Raw genomic sequence first — 20,013 nt, forward strand, 5'->3', positions numbered from 1 at the left:
GCCAGATATCACTGACTTCAAAGCCCATGTATGCTCTCTCTACTAGCTACTATGCTTTGCTTAGCTACCATCTATTAAGACTTTATTATATTCATTGTATTAATTTTGCAACTTTTCAGTCAGTTTAAAAATTTGCAAAATAAAAAATTACAGGGACAAAAAAGACCATTATTATACAGGTATCTTAATGTATTATGAGCCAAGTTTCTCTAGTGTATATATCTAGGAGTAGAATTGCCGAGTCATAAGGTATGTATACGTATCTTCAATTGTAGTACTTCAATATAGTGAACTATTCCTAAGTATGTAACATTATACACTTTCTACCAAGTTCCTGTTGTTCCATATCCTCATCAACACTTGGTATTAGCAGTCTTTTTATTTTTAGCTAATCTGATGGAAATGAGGTAGAATCTCATTATGGTTTAACTCTCTTTGATTATTAAAGAAGTTGGGAACTCTTTTTATGATTACTACCTATTTTTACCTCCTATTCTATGAAGAGCCTATTTAAATTATTTTGCCTGTTTTTCTCAGATTGGATTGTCTTGTATTGATTTCAGAATCTGTACATATTCTAGATGCTAATATTTTGTCAATTACATGTAGGGCATATATTGTCTTATTGTATGGCTGTCTTCTATTTATATTATCTTTTGACAAAGATAAGTACTTAATTTTATGAATCAGATATATAACTTCTGATAACAGATTATTGTATCATAGAAGAAATCTTTCAATACCCTGCAGTTATGAAGGTGCACGTGTGTGTGTGTGTGTGTGTGTGCATATATGGATACATACATATAGCTAGACACACACACACACACATATGCATATACAAAATGTGTGTGTGTGTGCACTTTGAAGTTTTATCTTTACTCTTCACATTTAGGTCTGTATCCATCTGGAGTTTTTTTGCATATGGTGTGAGGTAAGCATCTAATTTCTTCTTTTTTTCCTATATGAATATCTGATTATTCTAGCACCATTTATTGAAAAGACTGTCTCTTCCCACTGCTTTGAAATTCCATCGCCATCATAAATCAAGGATCCCTCTATGAAGAATCTGGTAAGGGTCTGGTCTTTCAATTCTGACTCATTAGTCTATCTGTCTGTCACTGTGTCAGTATAACATTGATTTTTAAAAATATGTCTTGGAACCTGCTAAAGTGAGGCTTTCAACCTTCTTTTTCTTCAAGAGTACTTTATCCATCCTTGGCCCTTTATACGTATCAATATATTTTAGAATCATCTTGTCAAGTCTCAAGAGAAAAAAAAACCCTGTTCATTTTTTGCTGCTTCTTTTTAGATCAGATTAGAAGCTGCAATTGCTGGTTGGGGTTGCTGACTGAGATCACACTGCATCTATAGATTGTTTCGGGGAGAACTGACATCTTTATAATATTGAGTCCTCCAATCCAGGAAGCCACAAGCCATGTTAAGTCTTTTTTATACCTAATGCTAGCTCCTGAGAGCTAATCTACTTTTGATATGTGAGTGCCAAGGTTACTTAAATTTGGCACTTCCTTTTCCCCAAGTATTCCAAATCCTACAAATATAGTCTATTTTCCTCTCAACTCCTAAGATGATAGCCCTAAAATAGAATGCTACATCATAGTTCCATGGTCCAGAATTGTGCTTGATCCAGGAACTGAGGAGGAAACCCAAATGATCTGTGGCTCTGAGGATATGAAAAATATCTTTCAGGTAATTGAGAACAAATATAATCTTACACTCAAAATCACAAACACACACATAAAAGGCTTTCAAGTGATGAAATCCCCAAATCATAATCTAGAAACAATATTTTTAAAATAATTCCTACTTGAGAATTGAGAGAGAGAGAGAAGTTAGCATAGAATGAGTACCTATTAGCGAGGCTTCCTCCAGGACCTAGGAACCCTAACCAGCTCTGGATTCCTGATATGGGAATAAGCAAAGGAATTTTCAGTGCAGTAAGAAATGATTAATGGGCTTTAGGGACTGATTGATGAAGAGAGAAAGCAAAGCAGAAAAACAAACTCTGAAGTTAATAAATGGAAAGGAAAAAAATACCATCCTGAAATACTTGACCTAGGAAGATAAGGGACTGTTTATGGTAATGTAAAGGGTTATAAAGACCAGGAATTTTAAGTTGAAAATAATAGGAATATTTTCACATATATTCCTCCATCTTCAAACTCAGAAATTATTCCCCAGGAGAAATGGAGAAAACAAATTCTTGAGAAAACTAGAAGAGAAAAGCACCAGAGAAGAGACTGTGGGAAAAAAGTATTGTGACCAGTGGGAATGGGCTAGAAATGATCTAATACATCTTTTCCATTCTCTAGTTCCTGGGATTCTATACATTAGTGCAGAGGGAATGATATTATCAAGCAATGAGACCAACGAGAAGTGTTTTGTTCAATTTTCAAGGCGCTGTTAAAAAAATACAGCCTCTAAATGGGAACTGGATACCTGGTCTTAAAAATATACAGAGAGCATCCTGCTCTTCTGCAGTGAGTTTATGTTCCCGTCTGTTCCCTCTGCAGGAGTCAGCAGGCGGCCTGACGGCATGGCAGGGGAGACATGCCAGGTACCATGAAATCATGGGGTTGGAATGTGGAGTTTGGGTGGTGGGAGGATGGGGGTTCTGTGTTCAAAAGCACTAGAGTTAGAAAAGAATGAAAACGAAAGGAGCTTGGGCTTCCCATGGGTTTGGACAAGAGACAAACCACAAAGAAAACAGCTTCTAGCCTAGCCCACAGGCATTCATTCAAGGGGAAGCCTGGAGCATCAACCTACAATTCCATCACAGTATGCAGAGGATTAAAAAAGAAGCATGTTAGAAAGTAGGTCTTCATTTCATTTCAGGCATATTTCCCTGGTAAATGCCACTTCCAGCCTATACATTTATTGGCTCATTTTTATAACAGAACCAGCAGTACCAAATCCCTGGGGAGCTTCAGCTCTAGGATTTGACATATACTAGAAGAGAGGGTGGGTATTCAAATCAAAGGTAGAGCATACTTATCATTTTGACAGACATAGCTGAAACTATTCCTGTTGTAAGGTACTGAGCACATCCAAAATGTGTAATTTCCTTAATTTTCTTACTGTACTCAAAAGCAATTGAAAATTCCCAAGTTATTAATTATGGCAAAAGAATTTTTGTGATTAGGAGAGCTTCTGTCTTTAATTTCAAGTGAATAAGATCCATCAAAAGAAGGCTGCCTACTAGCTTTGAAACACTTTCAGCTTCAGTACAGTGGTGAGAAACAGACTTCAACTAAAGATTTCAAGACTCTTCTTACAAAGTCCTGCTTGTATCCAGCTGTAACAGCAATTGTTCATTCATCACACTTGTTTTAACTACAGTCAAAGGTAAACCACAAACTTGGCTCAATGGCCACACTATGTCTTATTGGTTACATAAATGGCATTTTATCACAGATTGTAATAAAAAAGTATTCAATAACATTACCAGGTAATTGGGATGAAAATCTCTTTCTATAAGTCTATTTATTCTTCTCATTGTATATAAATTTTAAAATATTGTTTAAAGCTGTCACTCCTTAGCTCTGTTAGTGTTTCTCAATTCTATCATCTACATTGCCCTACTATTTCAATCCTACATTCCTGAAATTATCTTCAACATTTTCTTGAAAATGCCTCTATTGGCAATTAAGGATTGAAGAGCTGAAACAGAGAAGACCCGGCGTGACACTGGTGCTCCTCTGAAGGTTTGGCCATGCCTCAGCATTGTTCTGCTACAGTCAGCTCTTTCCTCCGGAAAGCACTGGAGAGTCCAGGTCTGTTAAGAAATGCTCACTCAGCACCAAGAAAAATGGGTTCATCATTTCTAAGCATCTGCTTAGAAATAAAACCAGATGCTCAGACCTAGGAATCAATAGAGTAAATATTAATTCAGTATAAGAGAAAGAAGGTCCTACATCACCTCCAAATAAGAAAAAATATGGAGGCCAACAATTAAAACTGAAGGAAAAATATTTTTAAAAAGAAAGAAAAAGGAGTGACTAACCAATTAGACTGTGAGCTCCTTAAGGGCATAAATGATAAGCACTTAATATGTATTGTTAGTTCAGTAAAAGAGTTTAAAAGGAATCAACTTAATTCTTAAAAATATTCCCCCACAGGCTTATTTAGGCCATTTTCAAATTTCAAGAGTTACACATCTATTTTCCTTACACGTGCTGTACCTACCATCCTTCTATCATGTGATGGAATGCTTTTGCACATGTATTTTCCTTCTTGTGATGAAATTTAGCTATCAGAAACATGCCCTGGCCCTTTCATGTACTTCATCTCATGTAGTGAAGGTAGGAATCATAGGCATCATTTTCTAGGGAAGGACACTGCTAAGTTAAATAACCTGCATAAAGTCACAGGCAGGTGAGTCAGATCTGGATCTGAGCTCTTGCCACTGGACTCCAAATTCTATATTCCTTCCATCACACTGAACTGAATGCAATTTAGAACTTCTTGGCTTCAAGCATCCCACTCCCACCCAACCCCTCTCCCCAACACACTTCTCAGAAGGGGAAAGTGTACCATGGAGATGTTAATGAAAAGGCCAAGGGCATACAACTAGTGGCACAGCTGGAGCCACAATTCAGAACTCCAGTGCTCTGGCCACCACACCACATAATGTTCTTCCCCAGGTGCCATGTTTTGAAGGTGTGACCCCCTCAAAATTCAAATTGAAAATCCCCACTGTGGTAGTATTAAAAGGCAGGGCCTTTTAGAAAGTGATTAAGTCATGAGGGTTCTGTCTCATGGATGGATTAATGCCCTTATAAAAGAGGCTTCAGGCTGGGTGTGGTGGCTCACACCTGCAATCCCAGCACTTTGGGAGGCCAAGGCAGGTGGATCACTTGAGGTCAGGAGTTTGAGACCAACCTGGCCAAAACGGTGAAACCCCGTCTCTACTAAAAATACAAAAATTAGCCAGGCGCAGTGGTGGATGTCTGTAATCCCAGCTACTTGGGAGGCTGAGGCAGGAGAATCACTTGAACCCGGGAGGCAGAGGTTGCAGTGAGATGAGATAGCGCCATTGCACTCCAGCCTGGGTGACAGAGCGCTACTCCATCTCCAAAAAAGAAAAGAAAAGAAAGGAAAGATTTAGAGAAAGTATACACTGTTTTGTCCTTCCACCCCCTCTACCATGTAAGGACACAGCATTCCTCCTTGCTGGAGGATGCAGCAACAAGGCACCATCTTGAAAACAGAGAGCGGCCCTCACCACACACCAAGGCTGGTGCCTCGCTCTTGAACTTCCTAGCCTCCAGAACTGTAAGAAATAAGTATCTGTTCTTCATAAATTACCCAGTCTGTAGTATTTTGTTATAGCAGCACAAATGAACTAAGACACCAGGTTTTTAATTTTATACTGTTCTTTTCTTCTGTAGTTATTTCTTTTGTACCTAAACATCTCTTTGGGCTATTTTCTTCAGGTCTTTTTTTCTGTCTCCCCAGCAGGAAGAAATGATAAAATATAGAGTCATGACACTTTGGCTCCCAGGAAGGATTACATCATCACCTCAGGGCAGCTAATCTATATTTAAATGCAAAGGTTATACGTAAGTAAAGAATAAGGAGGCAAGTCTTTTTTTGTCTTAGATGCTTAAAACTAAATTAACAATTATCTAAACATGACATAAATAATTAGAAAATTAAATGTAGTGCAAAATATTTTAATTCCTAATAACACTACTTGCTAAACCAAATCAGCAAGTGTCATATTCTTGCCATAACATACTAACTAACACAGCATATTATTATCTTGAACAGGACAGTAAGTACAGGTAATCGATCAAGAAGCACTACAATTTTAAAAGTACAAAAAATGATATAAAATGTTTTAAAAATTTAGTTTTTCCTCATACGATGTTTTTTTTTTTTTTGAGACAGAGTGTCTCTCTGTTGCCCAGGCTGGAGTACTGTGGACGATCAGAGCTCACTGCAGCCTCAAACTCCTAGGCTCAAGCAGTCCACCCACCCTCCCAAGTAGCTGGGACTAGACGCACACACAACTACGTCGGCTAATTTTTTTTTTGGTATAATTCTATTTATATGAAATATCCAGAATAGGCAAACCCATAAACAGGAAGTCAGTTGGTGGTTGCTAGGGATGGGGAGGAGGGAGGAAATGGAGAGTTCTTGTTTAATGGGTACAGGGTTTCATTTTGGGATGATAAAAAATGTTTTGGAAATAGACAGAGGCGATGGTTACACAACATTGTGGATGTTTAGTACCAAATGTCACTGAATTGTTCCCTTTAAAATGGTTAACTTTATGTTATGTGAATTTCACCTCAATACAAATAAATAATAAATACGTTGCAAGGAAAAAACTTGGAAAGAGGCCAATCAAACAAAAAAGTTGTAATGAAAAAGAAAAGACATTAAACATTTTTTTAAACAGGAGGTTTTGGGCATGGAGCTGGTTGATCTTAAAAATCCTATCCCATTCATTCACATCAAGCTGTCCAAACCGAGTAACTGGAAAGGTCCCACGATGCTGAGCTCTAAACATCAAACACAAAACTAGAATTCTGGAATTATCTGGTATTTTCCCTTTCCTGAAAATTCCATCTTCAATTGGTTCTACGGGTTCAAGAGCCATATTTATGAATCAACATTCAGGGCACGTACTCTGGTTCAGGGACAATGAATGGTACGAAGAATATCTAGGATATGTAGCTGTTGAAACTGCAGCCCTCTCAATGACTCTAATACTCAAGGAGTTAAAAGAATCCAGCCCCAGGAGTTTTAGATACAAAAATAGTAACAATCCAACTGAATTTGACTGCATTTAAAAAACATAATTATTTCCAAATCTACCGAGCAGCTGAACAGTCTTCAGTGACGCCTACAGTCACTGGAATTCAAAGACTCCTGCTCCCGGCAGCGCTGGGTCCTTTTATGCCTATGGGATTTATCTCAGCTCCTACCTCTACTTCTATGACTACGCCCTTCAGAACGCCCGTTGTACGGGCTAGAAAGTGTGCCTGAGCTCCGCCCTCTGTCCTTATCCCTGGTCTTTTCTTCTCTTGCCTCCCTCCTGCTTGAGGACCTGTGCTCGTGCTTGGGTTTCCCCTTCTTCAGCTCCCTCTCTCGGTTCTCTGCCCAACCAGAGTAGGCAGTCCTGGCCTTGGGGAGCTTCCGCCCCTCCCTGGGCACTGACTTCTGAGCTCTCTCCTAGTTCTTGCTGCTGTGCTTCTTAGGGCCAGGGTTGTCCTCTTCCTTTACTGTCTTGCTTCTGGGTGACGAAGAGGATGGTTGCTCTGCCTGTACCTCCCAGTCAGTTGTCTCTTTTTCTTTTTTTCCTTTTTGTCTTTTTTTGCGCTTTTTTGTTGGTTTTTCATCTTCAGAGCTCTCAGACAAACTTGGTGAGGGGGTACGAGCCCCACAGCCCTTCTCCTGGAGCTCTTTGGTCACATCATCCATTTCTTCTGAGTCCTTAGGAACGCAATAGTTAGACACATGATCCACTCGGATAGTTCTTCCTTTGATCTTGATCCCATTAAAATTGTCAATGGCCAGAATTGTGCTCCTCTGGTCTTCATAGCAGAGGAAACAGAATCCTTTGGATTTCCCAGTCTTCTTGTCCCACATGAGATTAATGTTAACAATCTCCCCATACTGTGAGAACACACAGATGATGTCCCCTTCAGTCAGCTCATAAGGAAGCCCTCCCAGGAAGATCCAGGCACTGTCCTTGTACTCGGAGTGCCAGGACACCTTATCGGCCACCCCAAGCTGGACCTCTCGCTCATTCAGCTCATTGATCAGCTTCACCTTAGTTAAAGGGTTCATCTCCACGGGCCCAAACTCAGCGTTCAGGTATCAGTGCCCAGGCAAGGCAGTGTGGCACATACCCTGGCTAATTTTTTAAATTTCTCGTAGAGGCAAGGTCTTGCTATCTTGCCCAGATTGGTCTCAAACTCCTAGCCTTAAGTGATCCTCTTGCCTTGGCCTCCCAAAGTTCTGGGATGACAGGTGTGAGCAATTGCACCCAGCCTTCATAAGAAAATTCTAACATTGATTTTCAAGTGTTCATTCTGGGGGTATATGATATTTTCATTATCTCTTGTGGCCAACTAAAGGCTTATCATACCAACAATTATCACTGCTCACACATCCACATTGACACCTGCCTGATTCCCCTCTTCAGCTGATTATCTGAGAACATTCATCCTTTGGCCAGCAGCTGAGATATGTGGCTATCCACACCAAGTCGTCAGACTGTTACTAAACATGCGAGGATTAATTACACTAGTTTTAATACTTTTCTAACTGTGTACCCTTTTTCAAATATAATATTCTTAGATGTGCCTAATAAGTGGAATTGTCCAAAGAAAAGCTTGAGAGGTGGATGGATAATAGCAGAGTCAGTGGGGGAGCTCTGGTGGGTCCCTGACTGCTCTTTTGACCTCACCCCAGTCAAGCACAAAGGGGGCTTCTCAGAGCACAGTCTGAAAACCGCTTTCAGACATTTTCAAAGTATTAATATTTTGTTGAAATTGAAACTGTCTTCCTCAGGGTATTGGGGAATATACAGGAGAAGAAAGATACTAAAATATGGGATAGAGGTGCAAATATCACATATACTGACTTAGCATAACTCTTCTCATTTCTTCCTCTGAGACAAGACTCTGACTTTGTGGGGTGGTCAATGCCCTTCCCAGTCATTCTCCAATCACACCACCTGGGGAACTCAGCTGACTACTTGCCTTTCTTCTGTAGAGTACTCCTCTCTGCATTCACACTCTTCCACCATCCTAGAATGCCCTTTCACCTCTTTTCTGCGTGGGGAACTCTCCTTGGTCATTAAGCCCTAACAATCTCTCACTGATTCTGAGACTCTTAAACATGCTTCTTCCTCCTACCAAACACACCCACACCTGTTCCATGCTCCACCACACACACCACCAATGTCTCTTTTTCTCTCTCTCACTCAGAAGAACAGATGCCTCCTTCATCAATTCTTCATTATTGCACATATCACATTGATAACTTGGTAAATATTTTTTTATTTGCTCCATAGATATATTTTCCCGCCTAGAATATGAGCTCTTCTAGGGCAGGGACTATCTTTTCCTTCTTTATATACCCAGTAAATAGCACAGTGCCAGGTATGTTGTGGTCCCCTTATAAATGTTAACTGAATCATGACAAATCCTTTCTCCCATACTTTAGTTCCAAATGTAAAGGGTAAAATAACTATAAAGAAAATAAGTCATATGTTTCAGTTGCAGGCAATTGTTAAACAAGTTACGTTCTAAGAGTTTGTTTAAAAATTGGTTCTTTGAAACTCAGAAATTGGGTTCTTTAAATGGGAAGCAGACCATCAAAGTCTCTCTGAGCCTACAATATTCTTGAAGAATGGTTTTAACAGCATGATTTCAGCTGTACCTAACCAGCATCCATAAAATTGTTTCTGTGGGAAAGTGGAATCCGAGGTCCATTTTGGACACCAGAAATCTATTCAGTGGTGGCTTTGATTTTGTATTAGAAAGGACTTAAGGGGAGCAATTATGCATGCAGAGGAGGTTGTATTTGCATATACAGTAAATTGTTTTTAGTTAGATTGTATGATTACTTTGAGGTGGAGTAACAGGTTAAACATCCTCATGCATTAATTGCCTTTCTTATTGATATTGTATGGACTGTCAGAGGCAGCAGCCCTGGCCACTGCTGGTGGAAAAGTAAAGAGCAGAAAGAAGGTGAGAGGAAGGGATTACAGCAGAGGCTCTCAAAGTGTGTTTCCAGTACCAGCAGTAGCATCATGGCTTGGGAACTTGTTAAAAATGCAGTCTTGGGTTCCAACCCAGACCTACTAAATCAGGAATTCTAAGAGCGGGGCTTATCCCAGAAGAAGAAATGAGAAAATTTATGCGGCCCGGGCTTTAACAAGCCTCTTCAGTGATTCTGATGTATGCTAAAGTTTGAGCGAGGTTTTTGGGCAACAATAATCTAGTCTTAAAATTCACTTCAACTGCAGAAAATGAGGTACAGATAAAAACATTATGAATGAAAAAGAGAAGGTCCCTTCTAAGCCAACAGTTCTCAATCTTGGCTGCACTGCAATCACTTGGGAGCTTTAAAAAATACTGATGCCTGGGCACCACCCCCAGAGATTCTGATTTAATCAGTCTGGGATTTGGCATGAGCAATGGGAGTTTTAAAAGCTCCCCAGGTGATTCTAACATGAAGCCATGAATGAGAAACCACTGTTCTAAGCCAACTGCTACATAATTATCTTCCAAAGCTGCCAACCTGCTAGGAAACACTGAAACACACACACACACACACACACACACACACACAAATAAAAGGACTAAAAATGTGAAGAGTAAGTTCACTTGCTAGTAATTTACATTTCAAGGTAATGAAATCTCTAATGCAATGATTTAATCATGTATAGGCAGAGGCCCCTTTGGCTCCCAGCAGTTTGGATATTACATGCGGCAGCCACGAAGGACAGAAGATTATGACGCTGTGGTCGTAGCCTCTATGCTGGTGAGAGAAGACATCTATGACAACAAGTAGGCATGCTATCTTCGATGGCTAGGTAGACTTACTTGGCAAAGTCCAATTCCATAAATCTCTATGGCTCAGGGATTCAGAAAGCATATATAGCCTGGACATCACCAAGGAAGTAACACCACTGAGGAGTGTTCAACATCAGTAATGGATTGGAGACAAAATTATCTCTGCATAGAGATACTGTTTTTACCCATGTCCCTGCTTGGCAAACTCCCTACTTCCTTCTGATCTTTCCTACCAGAAAGTCTGGATTCAACACTCGAGCACTGTAAGTGGGTCTCATGGTTAGCTCAGTTGGTTGGCCAAGACCTGGACTAATATCATGTGGCCTTGGCTAAGTGAAGCTGAGATGCCAGTAATTCTTATATATAATGTATGATATAATTCCCTATCTCAAGTGTTCTGAACCTTTGAGAGACAGTGTGAATTTCTTACAAAGTACTCACAATCCAAACAGGAAAACACATTTCTAAAGTTAGTTTCCTGGCATAAAATAGTTTACAAAAAAGGGAATTTTTTTGACTGTTATTTCACCTCTTCCAAGAGCAAATAAGTCTCATGTTCCAGCTAATCATGGCTCCCTTTCTCATCCAACCTGTAGACTGATATAAGACTACAGGGTGTTCCAACCACATTTGCATCATCAGACCCTTCTGTCAGCTCAGGTTGTTAACTCAGCCTTATAGTAAGTTCGAAGAATGACAAAACCAAGCACTAAAATATGATTGTGATAACTAGCTTGGTTATAAACCATGGCTGAGAAGCAGAATCTAGTGCCACACTGCCGGGATTCAAGACTTTGCCCAGTTACTTATGTGGCGTTGAACATGTACAAAATAGGGATAATAATAGTACCTATCTCAGAGGGTGGTTCGGAGGACTGTGACAAGTTTATTAGTATAACCCTGGCACAGAATAAGCTCTCAGTAATCTAACCATATCTGGAGATCAAAATTTTATTTTATTTTGACCCAACCATTCAATGTATGGAAATCTGTCCTATAGAAATACTCACACAAGAATGTAAGAAGATCTGGTGTTCCCCCTGATCATTTAATTACAAAAGAATTATACTGGTACATATACACCATGAAATTCTATGCAGCCATAGAAAGGAATGAGATCATATCCTTTGCAGGGACATAGATGGAGTTGGAAGACATGATTCTCAGCAAACTAACCCAGGAACAGAAAACCAAATACCACATGTTCTCACTTATAAGTGGGAGCTGAATGATGAGAACACATGGACACATGGTGGGGAACACCACACACTGAGGCCTGTCAGGTTGGAGAGGGAGAGCATCAGGAAGAATAGCTAATGGATGCTGGGCTTAATACTTAAGTGACAGGATGATCTGTGTAGCAAACCACCATGGCACACATTTATCTATGTAACAACTCTGTATATCCTGCACATGTAGCCTTGAACTTTAAAGTTGAAAAAAAAAAAAGAATTATAAGCAACTAATGTCCATCACTAGGGGAAATACTAAATAAGTTATAGTTTTCTTTTTATATAATGAAATACTATGGAATAGATACGAAGGTAGGTCCTGTTAAGTACTGAGAATTGGCACAGGGTGGAGGTGAGGAGCCCAAATCTAGAGTCAGACATGTGAGTCCAGTGCCAGCCTTCTTGTGCACTGGCTGTGCTTCCTTGTACAAATCACGGAACTTCCTTAGCTGTAAAATGGGAGGAATGACAGTACTCCCCTGAAGGTTCTATATAGACATTTGTTAAATAGATAAATGCTGACAAGGAAGACAGCCTACATACCTAACTTACTAGTGGTTATACAAGGAAATGGGAGTAATGATTTCCTTTTTGACTTTTTGTATTGTTTAACTTTTTAAAAAACGCATGTCATTTTTCTGTCACCAAATTTTAAAAATAAGCCTGGGCCAGATGCAGTGGCTCACACCTGTAATGCCAATACTTTGGGAGGCCGATGTGGGAGGATCACTTGAGCCAGGAGTTTGAAATCAGCCTGGTCAACGTAGGGAGATCCTGTCTCTACCAGAAAAAAATAAAAATACACAAATAAATACAGGAAAATTAGCCAGGCATGGTAGCACATGCCTGTAGTACCAGCTACTCAAGAGGCTGAGGTGGGAGAACTGCTTGAGCCTGGACATCGAGGCTGCAGTGAGCAATGATTGTGCCACCATACTCCAGCCTGGGCAACAGAGCAAGATCCTGTCTCAAAAGAAAAATCGGCCTAGTTTTTCGGCATATGGTGGTCTGATTGAATTAGTTGATATGTAACTAAAAGAGTCTCATACTAACAGGAATGTTGGTTATTACCATTTTCATTTTAAATAATGGGAAATTAAGACAGACAATGTTAAATGATTTATTAAGTTCAGATATTAAGTAATTTGTAAAATGAAACTAAAATAGAAACAATGTAGTGTAATCTAAAGGACTTGAGTTTTGAGGATCAGACAGTGCTAGGTTCAAAATCCTTCTATGCCTCCTAGCGCCTTTTGCAAATTATGTAACCTCTCTGAAACTCAGTTTTATTATTTGGACATTGAGGTTAATGGTAATAATAGCTAACATTTATTGAGTGCTTACTAAATGGGAAGCATTATAGCAAGAGCTATAAATGTATTATCTCATTTGATCCTCATAAAAACTCTGAGGTACTTGTTTCACAAGGATGAAGGAACTGAGGCACAGAAGGGTTAAATGAGTGGTCCATACCTAGTAAATAGTGGAGCCATGACTTGAACCCAGGTCGATTAACTTCAGCCATATGTACTTCAGAGGGAGATTATGAGAAGATAGCAAGGCACTCAAGAAATTATTTGTTTTACCCCTTTGATTCACTAGAATGTATGGCCTAAAATTTTAATTTTATGTTATAATAAACTTCTAAGGGGTGTGTGATTCTCTTACACTGCTCACGCTAAAGATAACTGACTGCTTGATATACTTGTTTCATTGAGAAGTGGTGGCCCATACCAGGGCAGGTGACAAGGACAGTGGTTCTTATTCATCTGGGCAGCAGCTTCAGTGCTAATTCTAAACACAGGTGGTGAGAGAGACAGCCAACAGGAAGGGGGAAGGAATCACTGCTGACATGTGCAACTGGGAAGATTGATGGTTTCCCTCTCTCTTTTTCCCCAATGTGTCGGCCTGGGAGCAGAGACGTAGAAGCCGCTGTGCTGAGGACAGTAAAATACACAGCACAGTGTCTGCCTGGCTGCAACACTGATTAATGAGACCAAAATGACACAGAAAACAGGCAGTGCTTCGGAAGGATAATTCACAGGCATTTCTTTATTTAATCATTTCAACAAAAGCAGTTCCCATAAACTGCCCGGTTTGAACTAGAATCTAGAATTCCCCGTGGTTAGAGCAACACAGGGGTATATTTGGTGGGATGCGTGGATCAAAGAGTGAGAATATAAAGAGAGTTTGTAATGAAGTAAATTCACTAATGACCGGCTGGGTACAAACTTAGGAATTCCTCTACTTTCTCTGACTGACCAAAACATTCACAAAGTTCCAAGTAAGATAGTTGTTTGCCTACCTAACTTAATGTAGGGATGATATGAGAATACGTTATCACAAGGAATTGCACCCTGTTAAAGCACTCTTGCTTTTCAAGACTAGTAGCCAGCGTCACCAATTCTTCATGTTTTACCATAGCTGCATAATGTATACATTTAAAATGACATTATCTTTATTAAGGAAATTAATGTAAAAATTAATTAACATCAAATATTATTTTAGTACTTACTATCACCTGTCTTACTTCCCACGAGCAGCTCTTAAACTTAATACTATATCCCAAACTAAATCTATTGACTCATGACCTTCAGGTCAACTCTCCCCGATTCTGCACTGTATTCTCAATTCTGGCTAATGATACAACCATCTACCTAGTCTCCTAACCTTAAGATTCATCCCCAACTCCTTCCTTTCCCTTACCAGATTCTGTTGGTTCAAATCCTGCCTCCTCCAATTACTAGCTATGTGATCTTTGGCAAGTATTTGTGCCTCAGTTTCATCACCTGAAATAAAAATTTTAATAGTACTGATTTATAGGAGAATTGCAAGAATTAAACAAATTGATACATAAAAAGTGTTTAGATTGGTGCCTGGCACATAGAAAATGCTTAATAAATATTAGCTATCTTCATCATCTAATCAATTACTAAATCATCAGGGATGTTTCTCAATACAATTTCATTTCTCCATCTCCATCAATGTAGTCTAAACCACAATCATCTCACCTGTGCTGTTTCAATAGCTTTTTTCTGAGTTTTTTAATCTTCTACACTATTACCTGAACCAGCATTTAAAAGTAATGAATCTCCACTGATTCTTCCTTTTTCACAGAGTCAAATCCAAACCCTTAATTTAGTGTATAAAATCCTTCATAATCTGACTTCAAATATATGTAGATTACTTAGACATAGTAAGGGCAATTATCCCCATGAATCAACATTAATTAAGCAAGTGAGAAGTCTTATGAGAAATATAGGGTTCAAGTTTTACATTTAACATTTTATAACATGCTATTTTTCATTGATTATCCTAACACTAGAGTAAGTATCATATTCACTGAAAAACCACTGAGTAATCTTTAGGATCTATAATTTAAAGCCTAAAACATAAAAAAAATTACATGCCATTTTTCTAGTGTACTTCCATTGCTTGGTGTAGTAGGTTGAATTATGTCCCTCCAAAATTCATGTCTACCTAGAACTTCAGAATGTAACTTTATTTGTAAATAGGATCTTCGCAGATATAATCAGTTAAGATGAAGTCATAAATACAATGACTTGTGTCCTTAAAAGAAGAGAAGACACACAGACACATAGAGGGAAAAGGGCCACATGACAATGGAGGCAGAGATTGGAGTGATACAGCTACAATTCAAGAAAATCCCAAGGATTGCGAAGAGCCACCAGCGGCTAGGAAGAGACAAGGAAGGGTTCTTCCTTAGAGTCTTAAGAAGCATGCCCTGCCAACACCTCAGTGTCAGACTGCTAGCCTCCAGAACTGTGAAAGAATACATTTCTGTTCTTTTAGGCCACCCAGTTTGTGGTACTTGGTTATGGCAGCCTTAGAAAACTATTAATAGCACACTTGACTAATGTCTTAAACTGATAAGGTAAGTAAGGTCAGTTGTTCAGGATCTGTAATCTGGTTACTATTTCTGTCAGAAATTCACATCCAGGACACTGGCCTTCTCTTCCAAGACTGTGCAAGACCTGGGGCAATGCAGAGTAGAATAAAAGTATTCTGCACGGGTTGTGGTGACTGACCAAACCACAACTGTATGTAGGTAGTAGTGCTGAGAGGCAGGAAGCATTATTACATAGACCATGTCAAATAAACAAACAGCCATCAACTAAGGGGCTATAATCATAGATGAAGTTGCTGTTACTTTGTTCTGGGATCAAAGTTCTAGGATCACATTTGCATTGATTCCATAAAATTACTGCACATAGTTGACTTTGCTCCATTTATTTCTTCCATTTAAACAGTAGCTCTGAAATTTTCATTATGCTGTAATCTCTCAGAAAAATGTAAATTTAAACTTAGCAAATATTTATTTCCTTTGGTAAAAAAAAATATTGATTGTATACCATTTTCCAGATGAAGCAGTATGGATGGCATGCGCTATTTCAACTTCCATGATCAATTATTGCTCTCCAAAAGGACTTTTTTTTCCCCCTTTGAAATCTTGAGATTGTTTTTTGGCATAATTACCCCAGCCCAAACGGTTTTGAGATATGTGTTTGTTTTTTTTTTAAATAAGCAGTAAACTATTTCTTTTACTTTAAAAAAACAAGTAAATATGTCTTTAAATTTTCTTTGAAGCTCTTTATAAAAACTTCTAAAAAATAAATGTTATTGTATATATTTAAGGTATACAGCATGATGTTATGGGATATATACAGATACCAAAAAGGTTACTATAGTAAAGTAAATTAATATATCCATCATCCCACATAGTTATCAATTTCTTTTGTTTTTATGTCAAAAGCAGCTAAATTCTGATTTAATATCAATCCCAAATACAGTACAATTTTATTACCTATAGTCCTCATGTTGTATTTAGATCTCTAGACTTGTTCATCCTACATATCTGCTACTTTGCATCCTCTGACCTACATCTCTCCATTTCCTCCTTTACAAAGAATTCTTGTACGTAATAAATAACTTTAGGAAAAAAAAAGAGAGAAAAATTCAAATTTGCAAACCAGTATCATCAGCCAATCATTAATTCACCATCCCTCTTTATGTTTAAAAGATTATCTCAATAATCTCTGGAAGCTCTGAATGACAGCCTATAAGGTTGGGGAACAAATAGTCCTATACAGATTAATTTTCTTTTGGAGGTTTTTTTTATGATCGATTCCAAATATACAGTATAGGGAAGGTGAAATGAGTAAGAAAAAAATCATATTTAATTCCCTGTTAACACTAAGCTATATTATTCAAAATGTGTTTCAAAATACTTAACCAGATCACCAAATCTCAGTCACTACCTTAGTTTAAATATTCACTAAGAAAATAGTCAAGCAACAGAAATCCATTGTGAGACACCATCTAGAGAGAAAGCTACACTGCTATATATAATTTATTAACTTAGTAGTTTAGTCTCTCAATATTTAGCAAGTTTGTTTAAAAATTACCATTCCCATTGGTTTATAGTAACATTAATATAAATCCATAATTTCAAAGTCAACATTCCTTTCACTGTGAACAAAAGACTTCTTTTTTTTTGAGATGGAGTCTCACTCTGTCACCCATGCTGGAGTGCAGTGGCGATCTCGGCTCACTGCAACCTCCACACTGCCTGCCACCCCTGGGTTCAAGGGATTCTCCTGCCTCAGCCTCCCAAGTAGCTGGGATTACAGGCGCCTGCCACCGCGCCCGGCTAATTTTTGTATTTTTAGTACAGACAGGGTTTCACCATCTTGGCCAGGCTGGTCTTGAACTCCTGACCTCGTGATCCACCTGCCTCGGCCTCCCAAAGTGCTGGGATTACAGGAGCAAGCCACTGCACCCAGCCAGTAGTCCAATATATTTCTGACATACCACATAGCTTCCTGTATGTCATATCTTTGAGCCTCTTATACAAGTTGTAAAGAAACTGGCAATCTATATAGAGATGCAGAGAGGATGTTACCAAGGAAGTGTCAGTATTGGGGGACACTGAAGAGTTTTTAGTTTCTCAAACTCACTGGTAAACCTTAGAATTTGACACAATCGAGTACTTAGTTCTTCCTCTAAATTTTTACCATCACATTGAATCTTCCACTCATGTTTAGTGGCACCATCATGGTTCTAATTTGCACTTGCTCTGTGTGTGTCTATGTGTCTGTGTATGTTTATAAAATAACTACACTCCTAGTCAGTTGTCTTATTGTGCCTAATAAAATTCAAGGACATTTCTTTAATTAAGAGAGCCTTTCCTTTCCTGATTGCTTACATAAATGATGACAATTTAAAAATTGTTATTAAGTTAGCTTATAATGTATTGTTTAATACACTGAGGAAACATGTATTTCAATTGTAAAGTAATGCAGCAACAAAGTTTTGTTTCTCTAATGTCAATTATATCATTTGGAATATGAGCATTCTTGTAGTAATCAATTGTAAATGTAAAGGTCAAAATAATGTTCTCCTTAATATTTTATTTTGCTTTTCTAACAACTCTAACAAGTTGACTTTATTCACCAGCGAAATATTTACCATATCCCTTTTGCAGTAAACAATACACTTTCAATTCTGATTTTATTTTTATATATTTTATATCTTTAGATGGGTATATTCTACTTTTGCAAATATGCTTTAAGTCAATAAATTATAATTTTTCAATAGCTTCACCATAAAATCAACACTCACACTCAAACTGTAATAATTTTAAATGCAATTTACTTATGAGTTTTTGAGACTCCTCCTTCCCCAACTGGAAATTTTTAAATGTTGTACATAATTATTCTCTATACTACATTTTAGTAGATAAAATAATTAGCATGAATAGAATATGGCTTTTTATACTATATACATATGTATTGAAATATTAAATTGTACCCCATAAATATGTACAATTACAATGTTTCCATTTAAAAAATCAAATAGCGCTCTCATTTTTGACAATTTCAAACACGTGGTTTGAAAATGTATCTTCAAAGTGCATTACTTTTCATCTACTTAGATGACAAATTACTGTACCATGAAAAGTTATTAATGATAAAATACCTGGTACCACACGTGATACCATTGCTTGCCTCAACTGGTAAACTCCTGGACATTTTTGGGAAAAATAACACAGACTTTTGTTTTGCTGTTACTATCAAATAATTATAAGGTAACTGTAAATGCTCATGTCTGGACCATCAAACAGTAAAGGACAGTGAGAAATGTATGTACCAAGTGGAACAGAGCTGTTTTGTGTGGACAGGTGGAACCCCAGCTGGGTAAAAACAATGCTATTGAAATGTCATCAGTCGAGTTATAATGAAGTGATTTTCTTTGTTTATTTTCTATCTTGATGAGAAATGTGTGATTTTTAAAAATACTGTAGCAGAAAAAATAGCCCAATTACCGATCAGATGTTTTATATAACAAAGTATTTTTCAAGTTCTCTCATATTTCTGACAATTTTAACTTTTTCCTGACCTCCCACCCCACCGGCACTACTGGGTTAATAAGAATCAAGTCTACTTTTTCAGCCTTTTTCTTCTACCATTCCCCTCCATGAATTGTATACTTCTTTTACTTCCATACTCTTGCTAACTTACAAGACTTTGCACTTGCAATTCTCTCTGCCTGGAATCCCTTTCTTGACCTAACAAATTTCAATATATCTTTTAAGACCTGGTGCAGCTGTTACCACATTTGTGGAGCACTCTCCAAATCCCCAGGACAAGATGAGTCACTTGCTCCTGTAAGCAACTACAATGCTTTGTCCTCCCTCTATTATAGCACATAGTTGTACTGTAACTTACTTTTCCTACATGTCCACTACCCTCGCCAGCCAGTGAAATCCTCGAGGGAAAGAACCATGCTGTTATCCCTAACACCAACAGAGCGGAGATTCAATATATGCATGTCAATGAAGTAGAAATGAATACTACATGAGGCTTATAGAATGCAGGAGCTGAAGTCTCGTCTTAAATCCCATGACACTCAGAGTCCCCATGATGGATGAAGATAGAGGCAGGCCATTTCCCAAGATGAGTAGGGAAAATTTTCAAATTATCCCTTCTCAGACTGCCTATCCCAGCTGGCCATCTTTCAGGTAACAATACCTACAACTATCAGAACAGTAATCTCAGCACTTTGGGAGGCTGAGGCGGGCATATCACAAGGTCAGGAGTTCGAGACCAGCCTGGCCAATATGGTGAAACCCCGTCTCTACTAAAAATACAAAAATTAGCCGAGCATGGTGGCACAGACCTGTAGTCCCAGCTACTTGGGAG

At 38.4% G+C, this 20,013-nt stretch overlaps 1 protein-coding gene and 1 pseudogene across 13 annotated transcripts in view; both read right to left on the bottom strand.

The window, feature by feature from the left end:
- The window catches only part of WARS2 (tryptophanyl tRNA synthetase 2, mitochondrial), a 109,457-nt gene that overhangs the window by 46,918 nt on the left and 42,526 nt on the right, over positions 1–20,013 (bottom strand). The window contains exon 1 of one of the 13 annotated variants that reach the window (XM_005270350.4): positions 4,207–4,414. The exons of the other annotated variants lie outside the window; for them this stretch is intronic. Within the exon in view, the coding sequence (XP_005270407.1) occupies positions 4,207–4,242 (36 nt within the window). The 5' untranslated portion in view covers positions 4,243–4,414. Of the gene's footprint in view, positions 1–4,206; positions 4,415–20,013 lie in introns of those variants that run through there. 13 annotated transcript variants of the gene reach the window in all.
- RBMX2P3 (RBMX2 pseudogene 3) lies at positions 6,072–7,867 on the bottom strand (annotated as a pseudogene).

The sequence above is a fragment of the Homo sapiens genome, chromosome 1 (assembly GCF_000001405.40).
Source record: "Homo sapiens chromosome 1, GRCh38.p14 Primary Assembly".
Taxonomy (NCBI): Eukaryota; Metazoa; Chordata; class Mammalia; order Primates; family Hominidae; genus Homo; species Homo sapiens.